At 43.9% G+C, this 4,956-nt stretch overlaps 1 protein-coding gene and 1 pseudogene across 1 annotated transcript; one reads left to right on the forward strand and one right to left on the reverse strand.

Annotated features, from left to right (window-relative positions):
* KRTAP4-17P (keratin associated protein 4-17, pseudogene) lies at positions 441 to 1,833 on the reverse strand (annotated as a pseudogene).
* KRTAP9-1 (keratin associated protein 9-1) lies at positions 3,984 to 4,736 on the forward strand. Its single transcript, NM_001190460.1, has one exon. It carries the CDS (start codon positions 3,984 to 3,986, stop codon positions 4,734 to 4,736), a length of 753 nt encoding a protein of 250 aa, NP_001177389.1.
* Positions 4,737 to 4,956: the final 220 nt, after the last annotated feature.

Genomic DNA, 4,956 nt, shown 5'->3' on the forward strand with positions numbered 1-4,956 from the left:
GAGGCAACTTCTTTAGATGGTAATTAACAGAATCTGAAATTTAACAGTATCTTAAATTAATTTAGCATATTTTGAAATGTGCGTGTGTTTTGATTGAGCCTTTTCACTTCTAGAAATGTATTCAACAGATGCACCTATACATACCTTCCAAGATGTAAGTTCAAGGGTATTCTTTGCAACATTGTTTGCAAGAATAAAGCCTGATTTTAAATTCTATTGTGTTTACGGAGGGGAAAGCCCTTGATGTAGGCAACACACACTAGTGCTCAGAGGCAGTGAAGCATCACTTTCTTTTTATCACCAAAGAAACCTCTTTGACCTATTCTTGCAATTTTTCTATAAGTGCAAGACGACATTAATTTTTAAAAAAAGAAATTAAGAATGTTATCTCTTTAGGCCATCCCTATCCCATGCAGACACCTACTTTCTATTTAGACTGAGTTATTCAGGAAGGAGGGAAGAGGGGATGGAAGGAAGGATACAAGAACATATTTAGAATATATTTTTATGGACATATTTTATGACTATTTGGGGTATATATAAAAATTATGAAAATTCAGTTCGTTAGGCATAAAATGGCATAAAAATATCCATTGTGTCTAAGTTGATAATGATTTTACTCAAATTCTCCATATCTTTGTTTACTTTTCTTCTTCAAATGACCGTTTTTGAAATAGTATGTTTAAAGCCTCTGCTATGATTGCAGTTTTATCACCTTCCTGTCTATTTATAACAGGTTTTTTTCTTTGCACTTAGTTTGAATGTAGCCCAACTTCTTATGACAACAAGAATATTAATATTTTTGCAGACATAATTAATGTATCATAAGGAAGTCACTATCAAGGTCAAAGCAAGTGCAGGTATCATAGGCTTGGGATTCTGGTCTAACTGAGCCACAGTTCTATGGTCACTTGTTTGTTTAGAAATAGCCCTCTCTGTCTGAAGGCAGGGGAGACAGCTTAGAGATAACCCTTCTCCTTAAAACAAGTATGTTTTCAACATGGTAGTTGACTCAGGCTGGTGGTCAGGAATGAAATTCAACAACAGGATCCACAGATTGGTGGTCTGGCAGCAGACTGGATGGTAGCAACTGAACTCACAGAAGCTGCGGCAGCAGCAAGCGGTCTTGCAGCAGGTGGTCTGGCAGCAGCTGGGATGGCAGCAGATCTCTTGGCAGAGGTCTTAACCACACCTCTGGTGACAGCAGAAGGAGCTGCAGCAGGAGCTGACCATGGTGTCAGAAGGTGGAGGTTCTGGGTGTGGGTTTTCAGTGGCATAAGGTACTAGAGTTCATAAGCCTTCTTCCTTCCAAGTTTCCTTCTCTACCCTGCTGAGGACTTGCCATCACCATGACCTGGGTTATTTCCTTGCTATTGTTTATCTTACCTGAAGAGAAATGATCAGATATTCTGATTGAAGCATGACATTGTAGCAGTTAGCCTTGGTTTTTAAAATGGATGCTAAGGTAATTTCCATTTAATCAGTTATTTATCCCTAAAAGCACCATTTTTCTTCCTTTTTTGTTTTAGCATCATCTCATCCATTCCTTCATATACTTTTCAGAGTGTGTCATTTGATATTCTGAGCACAGGACGAGTCATTCTTTTGTTCCAACCATTTAATTTACTGTTCCTGAATGAGCTGCATAGCCACAGTCCCTTCAATTTGAACAGTATTTAAAATAGATGTAAACATGGATATGTTAATACCCAAAAAATAAGACCCCAGTACATTATAGCAAATAGCTGCTAATGAAATCAGCATAGCACACTTATAAATTATGAAGTAGCTAAAAAACATCTAAGGCACGTGGCTTCAAATTTAACTTGTTCAGAATAGAATTGCTCATTCTGTTTCTTTTCCGAACCAATGCCCTAATTAATTCCCCAGTCCTATTACAAATGGTTGTTAGTCCAAATTTTCAAGCTAGGGCTGGGCGCAGTGGCTCACGCCTGTAATCCCAACACTTTGGGTGGCCAAGGTGGGTGAATCACCTGAGGTCGGGAGTTCAAGACCAGCCTGGTCAACGTGGTGAAAGTCCATCTCTACTAAAAATACAAAAAATTAGCCGGGAGTGGTGGCACGTGCCTGTAGTCCCAGCTACTCAGGAGGCTGAGGCAGGAGGATCATTTGAACCCATGAAGCGGGGGTTGCATTGAGCCAAGATCACGCCCCTGCACTCCAGCCTGGGCAACAGAGTAAGACTCTATCTCCAAAAAAAAAAAATCAAGCTAGTAAATGTAAAGTTCTTCATTCAATAATCATGTTTTGGTTCCCGCTATGTGCCAAACCCATTCTCAGGGTGGAGACACAAGTGAAGAATACTCCACCCCATCCTCTCCTTCACTATAACTTCATTCTGACTAAATGAACTGCACCAGATCATTTTATGGGATGAACTGGCAATGCCATTACCCATATGCTGGACCAGCAAACAGAGGCTGTGTCCACCTTCACAGCTAAGGTCAGGATGCCTCAGCAGCAGAGATGGCAGAAATTTTTAGCCACAGTTTAAGTCAGAGCAAGTCAAGCTGTATCAAAAGACCATTTTGTTGCCAGTGAAAATAAGAAACTCTTTATTTGAATAGATTAGCCAGATATGGAAATTGCTAAGCATCCAAAATATTATGCAACTTATTCTGTGTTTTCCCCATTAATACACATGATGGAGTCATTCTCGTCCCGTTTGTTCCTTCATTTAAAACACACGGCCGGGCGCGGTGGCTCACGCCTGTAATCCCAGCACTTTGGGAGGCCGAGACGGGCGGATCACGAGGTCAGGAGATCGAGACCATCCTGGCTAACACGGTGAAACCCCGTCTCTACTAAAAATACAAAAATTAGCCGGGCATGGTGGCGCGCGCCTGTAGTCCCAGCTACACGGGAGGCTGAGGCAGGAGAATGGCGTGAACCCGGGAGGCGGAGCTTGCAGTGAGTCGAGATCGCGCCACTGCACTCCAGCCTGGGCGACAGAGCGAAACTCCGTCTCAAAAAAAAAAAAAAAAACACACACAACGGTGTTTGTATTTTCAAACTGCAATTCAAAGCAAAATATTTTAGTTGTCTGACTAACTGCTTTTAAACTTTTCTTTGCACCACTAAGCGTAAACATCATGTACCCAGGGATGTTTGTACTTAGGGCCATCAACAGATGTGGAGCTCAGCATGGAAAAGATTACGACAATTACAATTGAGCCCAGTCCCCTGTTTCAGGAATTGAGATACCCAAGTGGAGTTGCTATTACTATTAGAATTACTGTCATTGAATCTGTGTTTGTGTGACACAGATGAAAAGTTTGATAAAAAATACATTTTAACGGAAAATATTTTAAAATATGGTTTACATTTGTCACCTTGAGTTAATCACCATGTTCTAGTGCTGGAGGGGAAAATGTAGGTGGTGACAATAGTTCTGGCCTCTTCAAGTTAGTTTCAGTTGTCAGGGGATCAGTCAATGTACTCTGTCTTAAAGAATGATAATTCAGGCGAGGCACAGTGGCTCATGCCCGTAATCCCATCACTCTGGGAGGCTGAGGTAGGAGGATCGCTTAAGTCCAGAAGTTCAAGGCCACAATGAGCTATGATCGCGCCACTGCACACTAGCCTGAGTGACAGGTGAAACCTTGTCTCTAAGATAATAATAGCAGTAAAATAATAAATAAAAATATATACTTTATAGTTAAATGATGCTATTGATGTTGATCACCTCTCTCACTTCTGGATATAAGTTTTTATGGGTTATCTATTGTTAAGTAGAACAATCATTTATTTTCAGAAGATTCATAACACTTAAGGAACACTTCGTCCCTGGGCAATTCCCTATAGGTTATGAAAAATAATGTCATAAATAATAACCAGGAAAATTCTGCTCATTGGTTCCAGATTTGGGAACCAGTGTATAAAAGGTCCAGATACTAGAAGGGGGTCATCAGATTCTTGGAAACTCACCTCTGAACAGGAGCCCACCCTTCACCCCTGACACCATGACCCACTGCTGTTCCCCTTGCTGTCAGCCTACATGCTGCAGGACCACCTGCTGCAGGACAACCTGCTGGAAGCCCACCACTGTGACCACCTGCAGCAGCACACCCTGTTGCCAGCCCTCCTGCTGTGTGCCCAGCTGCTGCCAGCCTTGCTGCCACCCAACTTGCTGTCAAAACACCTGCTGCAGGACCACCTGCTGCCAGCCCACTTGTGTGGCCAGCTGCTGCCAGCCTTCCTGCTGCAGCACACCCTGCTGCCAGCCCACCTGCTGTGGGTCCAGCTGCTGTGGCCAAACCAGCTGTGGGTCCAGCTGCTGTCAGCCTATTTGTGGGTCCAGTTGCTGTCAGCCTTGCTGTCACCCGACTTGCTATCAAACTATCTGCTTCAGGACCACCTGCTGCCAGCCTACCTGCTGCCAGCCCACCTGCTGCAGGAACACCTCTTGCCAGCCCACCTGCTGTGGGTCCAGCTGCTGCCAGCCTTGCTGCCACCCAACATGCTGTCAAACCATTTGTAGATCCACCTGCTGCCAACCATCCTGTGTGACCAGATGCTGCAGCACACCCTGTTGCCAGCCAACCTGTGGTGGGTCCAGCTGCTGTAGCCAAACCTGCAATGAGTCCAGCTATTGTCTGCCTTGCTGCCGTCCCACCTGCTGCCAGACCACCTGCTACAGGACCACCTGTTGCCGCCCCAGCTGTTGCTGCAGTCCTTGCTGTGTCTCCAGCTGCTGCCAGCCTTCCTGCTGCTAATCCACTTGCTGCAGACCCACCACCCACCAGAGACATATTTCCTGAAACATTTTGTCAAAGTTCCTATTCCACCAAGAAACATTCGCTAAGCTTTTCTGAGAAACAACATTCTGACACTGAACTTTGTGATCATCTTCTTCCTACCATGCTTGGGATTCTGCTGAAGGTTTGCAGTCTACCTCACTTTCATTCTTCTTCATTCCCTCTGTGTTAATGTACC

The sequence above is a fragment of the Homo sapiens genome, chromosome 17 (assembly GCF_000001405.40).
Source record: "Homo sapiens chromosome 17, GRCh38.p14 Primary Assembly".
Taxonomy (NCBI): Eukaryota; Metazoa; Chordata; class Mammalia; order Primates; family Hominidae; genus Homo; species Homo sapiens.